At 42.1% G+C, this 17552-nt stretch overlaps 1 long non-coding RNA gene and 1 pseudogene across 1 annotated transcript; one reads left to right on the forward strand and one right to left on the reverse strand.

Annotated features, from left to right (window-relative positions):
• Positions 1 to 2278: 2278 nt before the first annotated feature.
• Positions 2279 to 16657, reverse strand: LINC02319 (long intergenic non-protein coding RNA 2319). The gene is made up of 3 exons (NR_187197.1): positions 16354 to 16657; positions 14833 to 14936; positions 2279 to 2481 (listed from the first exon to the last, which is right to left on the reverse strand). It is a non-coding gene; the product is annotated as a long intergenic non-protein coding RNA 2319 (long non-coding RNA).
• On the forward strand, positions 8761 to 9334 carry COX5AP2 (cytochrome c oxidase subunit 5A pseudogene 2; annotated as a pseudogene).
• Positions 16658 to 17552: the final 895 nt, after the last annotated feature.

Raw genomic sequence — 17552 nt, forward strand, 5'->3', positions numbered from 1 at the left:
CGCTCAAAACTGTCAACATGTCTTCTCTGTCTAGTTTCCACTGGCCAAAGTGAGATGCATGGCCAAGCCCAGTGTCAGAAGGATAAGGAAGTAGTCTCTACTATGAAGGAAAGGGGAGTAGAGAGAGGGAGTTTTTGCTGAACAATATTCAACCAACCATAGCAATGCTGCAAGATATTGCACATTTAATGAAGGTGTTGCATGAGCCAGTTTCTCCTGAAAGTGCTCTAAGCTGAGAAAGAAAATGGTTTACAACAAAGGGATGGAAAGCAATGAAATGACCAGCTTGCCATGTAATTCCCAAAGAGGAAGTCCCTCACACAGTATCTAAGTGCCTCTGACCACAAGGAAAGTGGGTTCAAACTTCCCTGAAAGCAAGGTGGATCCTGGTTTTGAGGGGCTTTTATATACTTGATTTGGGGTGCATTCTTAAAGAAAAGTAATGCAAAATTACAAATATAAGTTAGATTAAGATTAGGAAGATAGGGCCGGGCGCAGTGGCTCACGCCTGTAATCCCAGCACTTTGGGAGGCCAAGGTGGGTGGATCACAAGGTCAGGAGATTGAGACCATCCTGGCTAACACGGTAAAACCCTGTCTCTATTAAAAATACAAAAAAATTAGCTGGGCGTGGTGGCGGGTGTCTGTAGTCCCAGCTACTCAGGAGGTTGAGGCAAGGGAATGGTGTGAACCTGGGAGGTAGAGCTTGCAGTGAGCAGAGATCACGCCACTGCACTCCAGCTTGGGTGACAGAGCGAGACTCCATCTCTAAAGAATAATAACAATAAATAAATAAATAAAGGAAGATAAACCATAAGTTACACATTTTGAAAAAACTGATAATTACTAAAAATATATCGAAACTCAGAAAAACAAGATATCTTAACTATCTGACACCTCCATGTTTTCTACATTTGGGAACTGTAAATATTTTGATAATCTCTTCACTTAACAACAATTTTGCAATTTCATTTTCTATAGAGAGAAAAGATAGATTTAGTCATTCCTGCATCATGGCAGCTTCTGACTCCGGGTATTTCAAACTTGTTCTTTCTCCACAACCCTCACACTTCTAACATCAGGCATCCTGGACCTTGTTCATAGTATGATACTCCCTCTGGCCCTAGACCTTCTCATTGGGTTAGTTAACACGTTGGTCAGAGAGAATATTTCTGGAAGCAACCCAAGTGTCCATCAACTGATGAATGGAGAAATGAAATGGAATATTATTCAACCATAAAAAGGAATAAAGTATTGACTCATGGTATAACATAAATGAATCTTGCAAATGTGCTAACAGAAAGAAGCCAGACACAGAAGGTCTTGCTCTGTCACGCAGGCTGGAGTGCAACGGCACAATCTGGGTTCACTACAACATCCACCTCCTGGGTTCAAGCAATTCTCATGCTTCAGCCTCCCGAGTAGCTGGGATTACAGACGTGCACCACCCACACCTGGCTAATTTTGGCATTTTTAGTGGAGACGGGGTTTCACCATGTTGCCCAAGCTGGTCTCGAACTCCTGGCCTTGTGTGATCTGCCTGTCTCAGCCTCCCAAAGTGCTGGGATTACAGGCATGAGCCACTACACCTGGCTGGTTCTATTTATATGAAAAGTCCAGGATAGGCACATCCATAGAGACAAAAAAATAGGAGTAGATTAAAATGGAGAAGCTGGCAGTGGGGGAAGGAAGAATGGGCAGTGACTACTAATGGAATTCTTTGTAGGGGGTAATGACAATGTTCTAGAATTAGTTGTGATAGTTGCACAATCTTGTGAATATACTAAAACCACTGGACTGTATACTTTAAAGGTCAATTTTATGGTATGTGAGTTATCTCTCAATTTTTTTAAAAAGTGAGAGGCATTCTTGGAAGCATTTCCTACATTCAAATAGCTAGAAATAGCTATACCCAGAAGTGCCGGAAAACTATGTAAATATTATAAAGATGGAAAAAAAATGAAGTGTGTTTCCTACTTTCACATACCACTCAATATAATACTTCTAAAACCAGATTCCACACACCAATCAGTTCTCCAGCAGACAGCAGCGGGGTGTCCTCTCTCAGTTCCACTCTGATGCTATCTACCTAGAGAGAGTATCAGATCCCACATGCCAAGCGCTAAGTTCCACAAGGCTTCCCCTCACCTCAGATGCCAGCTGCAAGCCCCCAGTTGTTTTACCTGTGCTTCTGACCGACCAGCCGTAAATCAGGGGTTCCCAAGACCCCTTCTTCAGGTTCAACTGATTTGCTAGAGCAGCTCACAGAACTCAGGAAGCACTTACACTTACTTGTTTATTATAAAGAATGTTACAAAGCATACAGATGAAAGAAACATGGAAGAGATGTATAGGTCGAGGTATAGGAGAAGGGGCTATCTACAGGCCCCCGACCTTCAGTCATCTCATTCACTTACAAAAGACACTCTTTTCACTCCAGAGATTCCAATGGTGTTAGGAGCTGTGTGCCAGGAACCAGGAGCTGAAAGCAAATATATACAGTCATGTGCTGCATAACAACATATCAGTCTAGGAAGGACTGCATTCGCAACAGTGGTTCCATAAGATTATAATGAAGCTAGCTGGGTGCAGTGTCTCACGCCTGTAATCCCAGCACTTTGGGAGGCTGAGGCAGGCAGATCAATTGAGGTCAGGAGTTTGAGACCAGCCTGACCAACCATGGCCAACATGGTGAATCCCCATCTCTACTAAAAATACAAAAATTAGTTAGGCTTGGTGGCACATGCTTGCAATTCCAGCTACTTGGGAGGCTGAGGCAGGAGAATTGCTTGAACCCAGGAGGTGGAGTTTGCAGTGAGCCCAGATCATACCACTGCACTCCAGCTTGGGCAGCAGAGCAAGACTCTCAGAAAAAAAAAAAAAAAAAAAAAAAAAAAGATTGTAATGAAGCTGGAAAATTCCTATTGACGTCATAGCCATCATAATGTCATAGAGCAATGCATTACTCACATGGGTGTGGTGATCCTGGTGTAAACTAACCTACTGCATTGCCAGTCATGCGAAAGTATAGCACATGCCATCACGTATAGTACGTAATACTTGATAATGATAATAATTTTCATTTTTATTTTCTGTACTTGCTGTACTGTACAGATATTATTTTCTGTACTTGCTGTACTGTACTCTTTATCATAACTTTACAGTGTACTCCTTCTATTTGTTTAAAAACAAGTTAACTGTAAAACAAGCAGGTCCTTCCAAGGTATTCCAGAGAAAGTATTATTACCAGAGGAAATGACAATTTCAAGCATGTATTGACCCTAAAGATTTTCCAGTTGGACAAGATGTGGAGGCAAAAAACAGTGGTTTTGATGCTCCTGACCATTCGTAGGCCTAGGCTAACATGTGTTGATGTCTTAGTTTTTAACAAAAAAGTTTAAAAAGTTAAAAAAAAGTACAAAAAAAGCACATAGAATAAGGACATAAAGAAAGAAAATATTTTCATACAACTATACAATGTGTCTTTTAAGCTAAGTGTTATTACAAAGGCTCATAAAGTTTTAAAAATTAAAAGAATTATAATGTGGAAAAGTTACAGTAAGCAAAGGTTAATTTATTGTTGAAGAAAGAAAAGTATTATTTTATTAATTTAGTGTAGCCTATGTGTACAGTGTTTAGAAAGTCTACAGTGGTGTACAGTAATGCCCTAGGCCTTCACACTCACTCACCACTCACTCACTGACTCACCCAGAGCAACTTCTAGTCCTGCAAGCCCCATTCATGGTAAGTGCCCTATCAAGATGTATCATTTTTTATCTGTTATACCACATTTTTTACTGTACCTTTTCTGTTTGGATATGTTTACATACACAAATACTTACCATTATGTTACAGTCACCTGGAGTATTCAATATGGTAACATGCTGTACAGGTTTGTAGCCTAGGAGCAATAGACTATACCATCTAGGTTTGTAAAGTACACCACTGTATAATGTTCATACAATGAAGAAATTGCCTACTGATGCATTTCTGAGAACATCATATCCTCATTAATCAATTCATGACTGTATTTTTTATTATATCATAAATATACTAAACCCAAACTGAATATATCCTTAATTTAAAATCCCTTTAGCCACATCCCAAAATTCCCTGGGCCACTAAATGCCACATGATATGGATGGATGCTGATGGAGGGGAAGTCAGTATAGAAAGGGATCCTGGTTTTACTTTTACAAATTTTACAAAAACATATGACAAGGTGAATACATTGTTTAAGCACCATAATTAATCTCTTCATGCCCAATTACCCACACTTGTGTAGACCATACACATTTAAAAATGACTAAGTGGTCCTGAATCTTTTTATACAGCTTCTTGAAGGGAAACAAAGCAATGATTTCTTAAATCATTAATCCCTATTTACAATGAACCTGAATAGATTGACAAATTTATCCAAAAGAAAAAGAAAGAAAAGAAAAGAAAGAAAGAAAGAAAGAAAGAAAGAAAGAAAGAAAGAAAGAAAGAAAGAGCTGCGCGTGGTGGCTCACGCCTGTAATCCCAGTACTTTGGGAGGCTGAGGCGGGAGGATCACCTGAGGTCAGTTCGAGACCAGCCTGACCAACATGGAGAAACCCCATCTCTACTAAAAATACAAAATTAGCCAGGCGTGGTGGCACACGCCTATAGTCCCAGCTACTCAGGAGGCTGGGGCAGGAGAATTGCTTGAACCTGGAGTGGGTAGAGGTTGTGGTGAGCCAAGATCGTGCCATTGCACTCCAGCCTGGGCAACAAGAGTAAAACTCCATCAAAAAAAAAAAAGAAGAAAGAAAGGAAGGAAGAAAGAAAAAGAGAGAGAGAGAAAGGAAGAAAGGAAGAAGGAAGGAAGGAAGGAAGGAAGGAGAAAGAAAGGAAAGAAAGAGAGAAAGGAAAGAAAGAAAGAAAGAGAAAGAAAGAAGAAAAGAAGAGAAAGAAGGAAAGAAAAGAAAAGAGGGGAAAAAAAGAGTTTTTAATTGTACAGGACTAACCCTTTTTTCCCCTCTCTAGAGATTCTCTCATTGGAATCTCTCTCAACAGAGCCTGCCCCTCCCCAAAGGATCAAAGCCCACATTCCATTTCACCACCAAGGCCCAAGGAGAATCCCGGAGCCCTCCAAATTCTCTCTGCACTGATGACAGCCCCTCAGGCTGGGGCTTGCCCTGGAGGACTGCCCTCTGCCCAGCTGTGGCCTTAATCGTGCCATGTACCTGGCTACCTCCTTCTCAAGCGTTTCTCCTCCTCACTTGGATTGAGCTCAGGTGCCCTTCAATCCTCTAGCTGCCTGGAACCAAACTGCTTCGCAGCCTAGAGGAGCAGCCCTGCCAAACCCAGGAGCCTGAAATGTAGTCATTTGTGGGATTATATAATTCCAAATTCCAAAATGCAACTAGAGATACTTTTTTGACATTGAGTGTGTTTTATTGACCCATTTCCCAATGACCAAAACTATACTCATTTGGATGTAAACTTCTTACTTCCCACTCAGGCATTAACAAGAAATCAGCTTTAAGAAAATAAATTGTCCTTCCTTCCAAACTTTGCACACCCTCTTTTTATGTTGCTTACAGCAAAGATGGTGAATAAACACTAATCCCAATGGCCATCAGAGGGTTGGTTTCTGAGATATCTGGCTGGTCTAGCCAGAACTGAGACTTTTGTTTCAAAATGGTAGACCATGTACAAGCTGTAGTTTCCTCCAAATTTCTAGAAATAGTTGTGCTTAAAAACTAGATTAAGAATTTGGCTACCAATAATTTAAGGAATAAAAGTTAAAGAGGTTGCTTTTGTTTGTTTTGTTGTTGTTGTTTGTTGTTGTTTGAGACAGAGTCTCACTCTGTCGCCCAGGCTGGAGTGCAGTGGTATGATCTCAGTTCACTGCAACCTCCACCTCCCAGGTTCAAGTGATTCTCCTGCCTCAGCCTCCCAGGTAGCTGGGACTACAGGCATGTGTCACCATGCCCAGGTAATTTTTGTATTTTCAGTAGAGACGGGGTTTCACCATGTTGGCCAGGCTGGTCTTGGACTCCTGACCTCAACTGATCTGCCCGGATTACAGGCTTAAGCCACAGCGCCCAGCCTTTTTTTTTCTTTCTTTCTCTTTCCTTCCTTCCTTCCTTCCTTCCTTCCTTCCTTCCTTCCTTTCTTTCTCTCTCTCTCTTTTTCTTTTTTTTTTTTTGACAGAGTCTTGGTCTGTCACCCAGGCTGGAGTGCAGTAGTGCTGTTACAGCTCACTGCAGCCTCAACCTCCCTGGGCTCAGATGATCCTCCCACCTCAGCCTCCCAAGTAGCTGGGACCACAAGCGAGTGCTACCAATGCCCAGCTAATTTTTTGTAGCGATGGGGTTTTACCATGTTGCCCAGGCTGGTCTCAAACTCCTGGCTCAAGTGACAGCCTGCCTTAGCCTCCCAAAGTGTTGGGATTACAGGCGTAAGCCACTGCACCCAAGAAGGTTGGCCTGGAAAGGAAATCTATAGTCCAAACTTATAGAAGATCAATAAGAAAGGTAGGCTATGCCTGGAGGCTGTATACACTTGGAGCAGAAAGGGGTCTGAGGCAACAGACAGGGTGTAGATGTGAAAGCAGCAGCCACCAGGCAGCAATGATGGGGAGTCTGCCTCCAGGCCACACTAGATCAGAGACAGGGTAACAGGTGGCCAGTGACCTTAGGAAGGAGTGGGGAGTACCAACACCCAACAGAGCAACCACTAAATGGCCTTGCCAGGTGACACATCCTGTCCTTCCTCTTCCTGAAAGCAAGTCAGAATGCAAATCACAAGGGCAATTCTTGTCTCTCCCAAAAAGACCATGCAAACAGATGGGAAGAGTCTAACAGGAAATCTCAACCACAAAGATGAGCCCATAATCAAGAAACATGAAGTATTAGAGAAAATCAACCTCCATGAATGGAGACAATGAACTAAAGCCATGGAAGAACTCATGGATAATAATACAAAGTTAGTGGAGCAATCAGAACAGCACTTCAAGGCTGAATCCTGGTTTCCTCATTCTCAGGCCGCCATTCTTTTCCCTTTTCCACACTGCATCCTTCCCTAAGTCGGGCACTCCCTATATAGTAGAAGGACTTTAAAGACATTTCTTTATTTTCCCAAATAAAATCTATTTGGGAAAAAGAACTTAACTTAGAGTAAGACCCATACAAATAGATATCTATTTCATTTCTTCATTTCCTGATTTGAAAAAGGACCTTATTATCCATCCTAAAATTTCTGTATCCCATTCTATTCACAGGTCAATTTCCCCTCATCTCTCTAGAACCACTGCAACTGCTTTCTAACTCTTCTTGCTGTCTCCAGGCTCCGCTCCTCTCACCCACCCATCTATTCTTCACCCTTTAGCCAGAGAGATCTTTCTAAAATGCAAAGATCACTCCAGCTGCTCCAAAACTTTAAACATCCTCCTGCAGCTCTGTGAATAGAGTCACATTCCTTAAAATGACCTACAAGACCCTGTAGCATCTGGCTCCTGCCTTTTTGTCTAGTCTTATCTCTTGATGCTTCAACAACCACCCCACCCCCTCCCCTTTGTTCAATAACCCACCCATAGCAAACTCTTCCATTTGTTCCTCTCCAAGCTGTTTTCTCTGCTTTGAATGGATCTCCCCCCACTTTTCACGAAGCCAACAGGTTTCAGCTGTGCTTCCAGAGTTGGGGAAGCCTCTTCTGTACTCCCATGGCACTAAGTATCTCACCCTGCATTTATCTCTCAGACAATAGGATTTAACAATGGGTTTTCTTGTCTGCATCTCCACCAGTGTATAGGCCCCAGAAGGCAGAGACTTCTTTGTTCTCTGCCTTATCCACCCGTAAAGCAAGGGATGCACACCATGATGACCTTTGGAATTGATGAGCTATCTGATGCCTTTATCGATACTTTTGTGGCACATTGAGCAAATTTAGAGCCCAGTAGAAACATGGTCATTTCCCTCTTCTCCCACAGAATGGATTTGCAGGCTATTCTCAGACCTACCTCGATTTGTAGATTCATCTATTCACTCAATAAATTCACTCAATAAATACTATGGAGGGCCAGGAATACTCCATATTCTGGGTGCAGCAATAAACAGAATGGAGGCAAATCCTCACCCTTGTGGAGTTCATTTTATAGGAAATTACTTGGCCAGCAGCCTCCTCTTTCCCACCCATCCTAAGACCAACTTGCCATTCTGCTGGGATCCTCCCCAGCTCTGATGAGTCCTGCTGGTATAGAGCATCAGGTTTCATAGCCACACTCATAGCTTCTTTTCTTTCATTAAAAATAACTTTTTATTATGGAAGAGTTCAAGCAAATACCAAAGTAGAGATAATAGGATAATGAGCCCCCATATATCTAACACATCAACACATCGCTGAGGTTGTCTCATTTATAGCTCTCACACTCTTTTCCATTGCCCACCAGATTACTTTAAAGCAAAACCAGACATCTAAGTCGTTTCATCCATAAATCCCTTCTGGAGGAAGAGGGCTTTCATATGGACTTGGAGAATGGAAAGGTCATAGATAGGGTGGGAAGAAGGCAGAGTGGCATCCTAACAGGGAATGAAAGCACAAGAAGTTTGGACAGGAAATGAAAATTATATATACAGAGTCAGGAAGAAACCCTCCTGAATGGAGAGAAATTTGGACAGATCAGTTGGAAGTGATTAAGAAAAGTTTCAACCCGCCAGCTCCGGAGCAGCCCGCGAGCTCACGCCAGGCCTCTCTCTAGCCTCAGCCTGCGATCTTACTAGGCACAGCTCTCTGGCCCTCGAGGCCTTCTGCACCCAGCTGTGACCCCCGCCCGGCCGTGGCTATCCAGTCAGTTCGCTGCTATTCCCATGGGTCACATGAGACAGATGAGGAATTTGATGCTCTCCGGGTAACATACTTCTACAAGCCAGATATAGATGCTTGGGAATTGTGTAAAGGGGTGAACACACTTGTTGGCTATGATCTGGTTCCAGAGCCCAAATCACTGATGCTGCTTTGTGGGCATTCAGACAGTTATATGATTTTGCTAGTGCAGTTGGCATCCTAGAGGCTGTTAAGGACAAAGCAGGACCTCATAGGGAAATCTGCCCCTATGTCATCCAGGAACTCAGACCAACTTTAAATGAACTGGGAATCTCCACTCCGGAGGAACTGGGCCTTGACAAAGTGTAAACCCCATGGATGAGCTTCCCAAGGATTTATTGATATTGCTACTTAAGTGTAAACAGTCACCTGGAAATACTGATGATAATATATTACCTTATTTGAACAAGTTTTCCTTTACTGAGTACCAAACCATGTAATGATAACTTGGACTTTAATAAAAGGGAAATGAGTTCGAACTGAAAAAACAAACAAACAAACAAACAAAAAAGAAAAGTTTCAAATGCCAGCCTGAGGATATAGGTTCCTGCAGAGGAGGTTTAGTTAGGTATTCACAGGTTTTAAGTGTATCAAGGCAAGTTAAGCAGTGTTCAAGTGAGAATCATCTAGGCTGAACATGGGCCCAGGAGACCCAAGAAGAAAAATGTATAGAGGGCAGAAGCATGAAGGGGCCCATTATTATAATTCACATGACAAGGGCCCAGACCACCGTGGTACTGGCAAAAATGGAGGGAGGAATGGGCTAGGATGTGGTTTAAAGGTTGAAGGGATAGAATTCATTGCCTAGCTCAAAAGAGCGGTTAAGGAAAGAATAAGAGATGACTACACGGCTCCAAGTCTGGAGAACGGAAGTCATCTACAAAGTCAAAGAAAAGGGAGGGGAATCTTTTCGGGAGATAAGTTTTATTAGGTTGATGCAAATTAATTAAAGAAATTGCCATTTCTTTCAATGGCAGAAACCGCAATTGCTTTTGCACCAACCTAATACTTTGGATTTAATAATGGGATATATGAGTATAAATATTTCACAGTCCATGGAAGGTATAGAATTGGCACTGGAGTAAAGTGGTATAGGTTTAAATTTATCCACTTAAAATTGATAGTTGAGGTCAGGTATCTCTATTGGTTTAATGTATGGAAAATGGAAAGGAAAAAAGAGAGGAAGGAAGATTGAGGAGAGGAAGGAAAAGGTAGAGGAGGACAGGCATGGGGAGGGGAAAGGAAAAGAGAGAAAAGGCAAGCAGAGGAGAGAGCAGGAGAGGAAGAGAAAGGGGAGGAGAGAGAAAAAGGGGCAAGTCAGGATGAAGAAGAATCATGGCTAAGACAGAAAAGGAGGTAAGAGTACCAAGATAGTCAAATAATCTCAAAAGCCAAAGAAGGGTGCCTTTCTAAAAAGAAATTTTAATCATTAGTGAGACTGGCGGTTGGAAAAGCCCACTGAATATGCATGATGTCATGTACTGTACATTCACAACACACACAAGGCCACATTCAATCTGTTGACCTTGAGGGCAGAGCACAAGGCTCAGTTGTTCCCGCCCTGCCCCAACCCCCAGCGTTTGCCTCTGAAGAGAAGGAGAAGTCTGTACTGGGAGAGTTGGAATTCTTGAATCAGGCTAGTTGTTAGCTATGTTGTGAAATGGGCTCATTTTCAGAAACTAAAAAATTCATTTCTGCTGATAGTCACTGTAGTAAGTAGATGAGGGGTCACTCTAATAAGTAATAGGCTTGAGCGAAAAATGGGTCCCTAATTTGCTGTCAGGGATGGAGTGACAAAACCAGGATCCACCAATGGAGAGGAAACAGCCCAGCTTGGAAGGAATGATTTGTACCCCAACCAACACTGTGATGCAAACACAATTTGGGTGCCTCCTTTAGTGACATCAAGAAAAAGAAACCTAATATGTAGCCATATTAAACAAACTGAAATCCACAAATCATGTTAATCATGGGGCAATTTCATAATGGCATGGATTAAGTGGTGATGACATTACAAATATAAACAGAAGGAACATCTTTAAAAAGTCCAAAAAAATTGGAATTTGTCTGTGTACTACCAGAGTCACCTGGAAGAGAGGGTTCCTGGGTTCTAGATAATTGGTAGTGACAATATAAAGATAAATCATCCTATAGAAAAGATGGTTACTTCATGAGATAATTTTTCTCTTTTCATTTGTTTTGAATATTCAGTTTCCTTTTTTGCCATACCCTATGATTACTAAGATTTATTTTTTCCATTGTTTTTAAATTATTATTATTTAGAAATAATTTAGATTTTTAATTATTCACAAGGAATTTACTATTTTCTCTATTTTTGAAAACCTTTATGATTTATTTTGAAAAACATAGACATTTTCAAACTTAGAAAGAATAGTACAAGGAACTCACATGCACCTGTTACCCCATTTCAACAATTAATCAGCAGTCTGCCACTTAAAAAAACAGCTATTCTTTCTTTTTTACCTCTCCTCTTCCTATTTTTTTTTCCTGGAGTATTTTAAAGCAAATCCTGGACATCATATCAACTCACCAGTAAATACATCAATATGTATTCATCTTTTACCAATACGAACTTTTTAAAAACTGGCAATCGTGCCATTATGACAGTAATACAACTTATAATAACTTCTTTATATAATTGAATACTAAGTCTATGTGCAAATTTCTCTATCTCAAAGATGTATTTTATAGTAGGTTTGTTTAAATCAGGATCCACACAAGGTCTAGACATCAGTTATTCCATCTCTTAAGTATCTTTTATTCTCTAAAAATTTATCCCTCTTTTTATATGCAATTATTTTTTGGAGAAACTGGATTGTTTGGTTTGTAGAATATCTCATTCAGGATTTGGTTTATTGCATCTTCATAGTCTTGTTTAAATTGTTCTATTTCTTTTGTTTTCTTTAAACTGGTAGTTAAACCTACTGACTTGATAAGATTTTTAGGCAAAAATACTTCTAAGTGGTGGTATGTTTTTTCTACTGCACAACATCATTATATGGTCCAGTTGTACTTTTAATGATACCAAGATTGGTGATTGGGTTTTGATGAGAGAAGCCTAATATTTCCATTATGAAGTTCTTTGTCAACTTTTAACCTGTATTAGCAAACGGGTTAAAAGCGACTCATAATTGTTGCCTGGATTCATTTTATAGGGATTGCAAAATGATGATTTTCTAATTCTATCATTTCTTCTGCATTTATTCATTGGAATTATCCTATAAAGAGCTTCCCCTCATCAACAATGTGGTTACCCTTAAATATAGTACATACAAGAAAGGCAGAATAAATCCTTTATATTTCCCTTTTCAATACATTTTTGAGTAATTTTAGCAGCCTCCAAAGATGACCAAGGAGGAATTTTAAGTCATTAAATACTCATGAATTTTTAGATATCTGATGTATTTTAATTCTTTCTCACACACAAATTATCCCATTTTTGGCCAGTGGGAGCCCCTTAATGGCAGTTCTTGTGTCTTTCTGATATGACCCTAAAACTGCCTTTACAAAGTTATGACAGTAAGAGAAAGCTGGCATAGCTGACTCCATCTTGCTTCTAACCTCCAAGCTGTCATTGCTGGGCATAGGTCAAGCTAACTTTGGGAGGATTTTAGTTTACAGTTTAACCTTAAAGCAAGGATGATAATAGCCACTCCCAAAATTAAACCACCTTTGTAAAAATAACGGAAGACCACAAGATTAGGATTATGAGAAGGGCCTGAATTCTGGTTAAGATACAGGCATAGTTAAACAACAACCAGCCATTGTTCCAGAGGTCACAATATGTGTAACTTCTCCAATTATTCCTGTAGATAACATCACTATCGTAGAACCTAAGACTGGCCTTTTGAGATGTTTTTAGACTTTTACATTTATGGCAACCAACTGACTCTACCCAGACCATGACTCGTGACTGAAATGGTCCTGTGGCCCCCATCCAGAGGCTGACTCAGCACATAAGGACCATTTTTCCAGGCTCCTATGACTGCATCCCCAACTAATCAACATTTCCCATTCCCTAGCCTCCTGCCCACCAAACTCTCCTTGAAAAACTCTAACCTCCAAGCCTTCAGGAGACTGACTTGAATAATTCCAGTTCTTCTACGTGGCCGGCCTCGTATTAATTAAACTCCTTCTTTACTGCAATACTGTGGTCTCAGTGAATGGGTTTTGTCTCTGCAGCAGGCAGGAAGAACCCATTGGATAACTACAGCCCCATTTGTTTTGAAAGGCTTTCTTGTTTCTTCTTTGACACAAAACAATGTCCCAGACTCACCTTTTAATTTTTGCCCTAGACTTGGAATCAAGCATTTTTCTAAAGAGCTCTAGTTCCTGTTAGTTGGGAATAGTGAGAGGTGACAGCGTGCTAGCAGTCCTCACAGGCCTCGCTCCTTCTCGGCGCCTCCTCTGCCTGGGCTTCCACTTTGGCGGCACTTGAGGAGCCCTTCAGCCCACCGCTGCACTATGGGAGCCCCTTTCTGGGCTAGCCAAGGCCGGAGCCAGCTCCCTCACCTTGTAGGGAGGTGTGGAGGGAGAGGCACGGAGCGGGAACCGGGGCTGTGCGCGGCGCTTGCGGGCCAGCTGGAGTTCCAGGTGGGCGTGGGCTTGGCGGGCCCCGCACTCCGAGCAGCTGGCCGGTCCTGCCGGCCCCGAGCAATGAGGGGCTTAGCACCCAGGCCAGCAGCTGCAGAGGGTGTACTGGGTCCCCCAGCAGTGCCAGCCCACCGGCGCTGCGCTCGATTTCTCACTGGGCCTTAGCTGTCTTCCCGCAGGACAGGGCTCCGGGACCTGCAGCCCGCCATGCCTGAGCCTCCCACCCCCTCCATGGGCTCCTGTGCGGCCGAGCCTCCCTGACAAGCGCCACCCCCTGCTCCAGGGCGCCCAGTCCCATCGACCACCCAAGGGCTGAGGAGTGCAGGCGCAGGGCACCGGGACTGGCAGGCAGCTCCACCTGCAGCCCTGGTGCGGGATCCACTGGGTGAAGCCAGCTGGGCTCCTGAGTCTGGTGGGGACGTGGAGAACCTTTATGTCTGGCTCAGGGATTGTAAATGCACCAATAGGCACTCTGTATCTAGCTCAAGGTTTGTAAACACACCAATCAGCACCCTGTGTCTAGCTCAGGGTTTGTGAATGCACCAATGGACACTCTGTATCTAGCTACTCTGGTGGGGCCTTGGAGAACCTTTGTGTCCACACTCTATGTAGCTAATCGAGAGGGGACGTGGAGAACCTTTGTGTCTAGCTCAGGGATTGTAAACGCACCAATCAGCGCCCTGTCAAAACAGACCACTCGGCTCTACCAATCAGCAGGATGTGGGTGGGGCCAGATAAGAGAATAAAAGCAGGCTGCCGGAGGCAGCAGTGGCAACCCGCTCAGGTCCTTCTCCACAATGTGGAAGCTTTGTTCTTTCGCTCTTTGCAATAAATCTTGCTACCGCTCACTCTTTGGGTCCACGCTGCTTTTACAAGCTGTAACACTCACCACAAAGGTCTGCAGCTTCATTCCTGAAGCCAGCGAGACCATGAGCCCACCGGGAGGAGCGAACAACTCCAGACGCGCTGTCTTAAGAGCTGTAACAGTCACCTCGAAGGTCTGCAGCTTCACTCCTGAGCCAGCGAGACCACGAACCCACCAGAAGTAAGAAACTCTGAACACATCCGAACATCAGAAGGAACAAACTCCAGAGGCGCCACCTTAAGAGCTGTAACACTCACCGCGAGCGTCTGCGGCTTCATTCTTGAAGTCAGTGAGACCAAGAACCCACCAATTCTGGACACAATAGGATTTAAAAACCACAATCTGGATGCTTATTGTGTTAATTACTGCTGAGTTGTCATTCCTTTTAGACTTTTTCAAGGGACAGAGCAATGAAATATGCATTTTAAAATTTATTTTAAAAGATAAAATGAGTTTATAGTGATATGTCCAATTCAAACGTTAGATTATAAAATTTTTACTTACCTTCTTTGATTTTATTTGCTTATTTGAGTAATCTTACTGTTACTAGTTATTCTGATGTTCTAGAATCATTTATATTTGAAGCAACAGCCAAGGTTTATCAATGCCTGAAAAGTGAAACAGAAATGATAAAGAAAATAAAGGAAAACATCAATGCAGAAAGGAACTATAGTAAATATCTTTAGGGATGTAAAAGAAGATATTATCTCCATGGAATTATTGCAGAGAACTCTTAACCTAGGTTCAGTAGTCTTATTGCCTATTATTTTTAAGCTATATATGTGTTGTAAGCTAAAGTTGACAAGTAATTATGTTAATATAGAGACTGAGCTTTTCAGCATAGGAACAACAAGATACAAATATAAAATCAAATAAGCAAAAACCCTGTAATCATAAAAAATTGGGAAATGTTATTGAAAGACCACCATCTGGACACAAGGGCTCCTTGGGAAAACACCACAAGAATGCAATAAGCCAAAGCTCGAAATTCTACAGAACCTATTATCTGATTTCTTCTACGAATGAATAGCATGAAAAGAAGAGAGGAACTAACGTGTATTTTGTATAGATCTTACTTGGTTTCCAACTCAAGCCAACTTCAAAAAAGACATTTTAGACAACAAGAGAAAGTGGATCACTGGGCATTACGTGAGGTGAAAAAATTACTAGTTTTGTTACATATAATAGTAGTACTGTTATTTGTTAAAACTCCTTATCTGCTAGCAATATATTTTGAAGACTTTACAGATGACATGATACTTCGAATGTGTTTTTACATATCTAGAAAAAAACTGGAAGGGACATAAGTGAAACAAACTTGGTCAGATATCGAAGTTAGGTGGTGTGGGTTCATCATACTATCCTCTAATTTTTGTATGTTTGAAAATATCCTTAATTTTTAAAGGTTAAAAAAAGACTTTATTTAGAAACACTAAAGAAGACAAAAATAAATGGAGAGATATAAGGATGCTTTAAAAAGGTAATTAATTAATTACATTATTTAAAAAGCACAAGAAGACAAGAAAGAATCCAGCTCAAATCCTATGTCCCAGGGTCCAGCAACTAGCAGGGTGTGTCTAAAATTCCCCCAAAGCCGCAGCTGAGGACCTGAACTGGAGGGCAGATGTCCCTCCACCCTCCTTCCTAGGGCAGCAATTAGCACTCCAGTCTTCTGGTTGGAGGCTCTTTGTAGCCTCATAGTTCACAGAGCCCTTTTGGACATGGAGTGAATAGTTGGTTACATTCTCCACATTATTATGCAGATGACATTGCTCATGGTGGATACTAGAGCTGGGGCAGCTGATGAGGAAATCACCAGGGGTGGCTCAGAAAAAAAAAAAATGACCTCCCTAAGGGACACTACAGGAAACCAGCCCCGAAGTGATTTCTTTTGAAATTCGGGGCAGCAGCAAGCTCATATTTCTTTTGGTTAGTTCCTTCACCATGGTTGCCAGTCTCAGTAAAGCTGAGTGTTCCTATCTCCGCCTCTGTCTCCCTCATCAGCTATTGTTTTACCTCACCCACCCAAGGTATGGGAGGCCTCCATTCCATTTAGAGAGCTCCTGGTGCTTCCTGGTGGCTGGTGATGATTCATTTTTATTCCCTTGAATCTTCCCCACGGCCAGATCATTGTTGTCCATATCCTTCCCTCCAGGAAACAACAAAAGGCAATATTTGGTCTTTTGGCTGGAGTCTATGCCGGACCAACACATCCCACAAATGGCTTGAGCTGAGGGTTCCTCCAGCCCCCTGAGATTTCCCAAAGCATTTCGAGATAAACTCTAATAGTAGGATACATTTGCTTTCCAGTTGAAGTGATGGGTTATATGATTCATCTGTTTCCTAAGATTTCCAGTTATAGTCATGAAATCTGGCCTCTGCCCCTGATGTAAAATCCTTGTGTTTACAAGAAGTAACCTAAGTAACCTACCACATGTTCAGAGTTGGAAACCTACTTCCTGTCCCCCGAGTTTGTAAACCCAGCAAGATATATTTTCTCTTTTCAGCCATGCTTGAAAAGTTGGTATAACTGAAATAAGTTTTAAATAAGGCAAATTGGAATAAACTCCAACTCAATGATTTCATCTTCCCAATCCTGCCCCAAATCATGGCCATATCAGTGGGATTTCCAATTGCAAACAGCACCAAACAACACCAAATTCATGTTAGCAAATTTTAAGGATGAGAAGTGACCTCAGCCATCCAGAATTGGATTTGTAGCAGATGACAAATAAGATGCTTAGAATCACAGACCATCAGAGATGGCCGACTTGAGCCAGCATCGACCCTCTCCTTTCACAGGTGAGAAAACTAAAGTCCAAAGACAGTCTTATTTTAAAGCCTAAATTGCAGGGGTAGCGAGTGAAACCAGTTTCAAAATGAGGTTTACCACAGAGGAGCCCAAACCCACTCTCTCACTCATGTCACATTCTGAAGTGTCCTTCTTACTGGTTTCCAACTCTTCACCTCTCTCTTCTTATCTCTTCCCCCTGCCCTCCACACTGCTCCCTGCTGCAGCCACTTTCTCTGCAGCACAGCCCTGATCATATCTCCCCTGGCTCAAAACTATTCCATAGTTCTCGGCCTTGGCTGTTCCCAATGACATTCCAGTTGAACTTCATACTTCACTCGCGTGCCCTGCCCAGTCCATATGGAAAAGTAGCTGCTCCCAAGAGATCTTTGTGCCTATCTCTTTTCCCATGTGATTTTCTCTGCCCAGAAGA

This window comes from Homo sapiens, chromosome 14 (genome assembly GCF_000001405.40).
Source record: "Homo sapiens chromosome 14, GRCh38.p14 Primary Assembly".
In the NCBI taxonomy this organism is placed as follows: Eukaryota; Metazoa; Chordata; class Mammalia; order Primates; family Hominidae; genus Homo; species Homo sapiens.